Source organism: Homo sapiens, chromosome 17, assembly GCF_000001405.40.
Source record: "Homo sapiens chromosome 17, GRCh38.p14 Primary Assembly".
Classification (NCBI taxonomy): Eukaryota; Metazoa; Chordata; class Mammalia; order Primates; family Hominidae; genus Homo; species Homo sapiens.
The window spans coordinates 65,335,841-65,337,409 of NC_000017.11; positions in this window are offsets into that span (position 1 = coordinate 65,335,841).

The window sequence follows — 1,569 nt, forward strand, 5'->3', positions numbered from 1 at the left end:
TCTTCACAGATACACACAGCCTCCCACAGGACTCACAGCTCATCCTCAAAACTTACTGTAAAGCTACAGTAATCAAGACAGTGTGATATTGGTATAAAGACAAACAGATCTACAGAACAGAATAGAGAGTCCATAAATAGACCCATGCATACCTGGAATCTAAACAACTGACTTTTAACAAAAGTGTAAACACACTTCAGTGGAGAGAGAAGAGTCTTCTCAACATATGGTGCTGGAACAATTGAGTATCGATAAAATGAATTGGACATACTGGAAAATATTGAACATGAATAAAAATGGACAATAAAAAGAAATAAAGTTGGTCATCAATAAAAGTGAACTTTGGACATCAAAAATGAATAAAGAAATGTTGAGCCATACTTTATATCATGTGAAAACAAATTAACTTTAAATGGATCATTGACCTAAATGCTAATACCTAAAACTATAAAGTGTCTGAATGGAACTGAACTTTTGTGACCTGAGGGTTAGGCAAAAGTTTCTTAGAAATGACACCAAAATCATAATTCATACAAGAACAAATTATTAAATTGGACTTCATCAAAATTTAAAACTTCTGCTCTTTAAAAAAGACTTAAGAGAATGAAAAGACAAACTACAGACTAAAATAAAATATTTGTAAAGCATATATCTAATAAAAGACTTATGTCTAGAATAGGCAAAGAATGCTCAAAATTCAATAATAAGAAAACAAAAACAAAAAACCTAATTAAAAATAGTCAAAAGATTTGAAAAGAAGCTTTATCAAAGAGGATATATGGATGGCAAATAAGCACATAAAAAGATCCTCAACATCAATTAATTTAAATTAAAAGCAGAGAGAGATACAACAACATACCTATTGGAATGTTTAAAATTGGAAATGTCTGACCATGTCAAGTATTGGCAAGGATGTGGAGGAACTGTAACTCTCATATACTTCTGATGGAAGTGTAAAATGTAAAATGTCACACTATGGTACCTTGGAAAGTAGTTTGCCCTTCCTTCCTTCCTTCTTTCCTTCCTTCCTTCCTTCCTTCCTTCCTTCCTTCCTTCCTTCCTTCCCTCCCTCCTTCCTTCCTTTCTTCTCTCTTTCTCTCTCTCTCTTTCGTTCTTTTCTTTTCTCTTTTCTTTCTTTCCTTGCGTGTCTCACTCTGTCACCCAGGCTGGAATGCAGTGGCAGACAAAGGCTTCCTGCAGCCTTGACCCTCTGGGCTCAATTGATCCTCCCACCTCAGCCTCCTGAGTAGCTGGGACTACAGGTGTGTGTCACCATGCCCAGCTATTTAAAAAAAATTTTTTAAATAGAGATGGGGTCTCATTACGTTGCCCAGGCTGATCTCAAACTCCTGGAGTCAAGCGATCCTCCCATCTTGGCCTCCCAAAGTGTTGGGATCACAGGCATGAGCCACCATGCTTGGCTTCCATTTTTTAAAAAAATTAAATACTTAGCTACCATGTCATCCTACCATTTTACTCCTAGGTATTTATTGAAAAGAAATGGCACCATATGTTCTGCATGGCTTTTGCATGAATGTCTACAGCAACTTTATTTGTTTTTTTAATTTT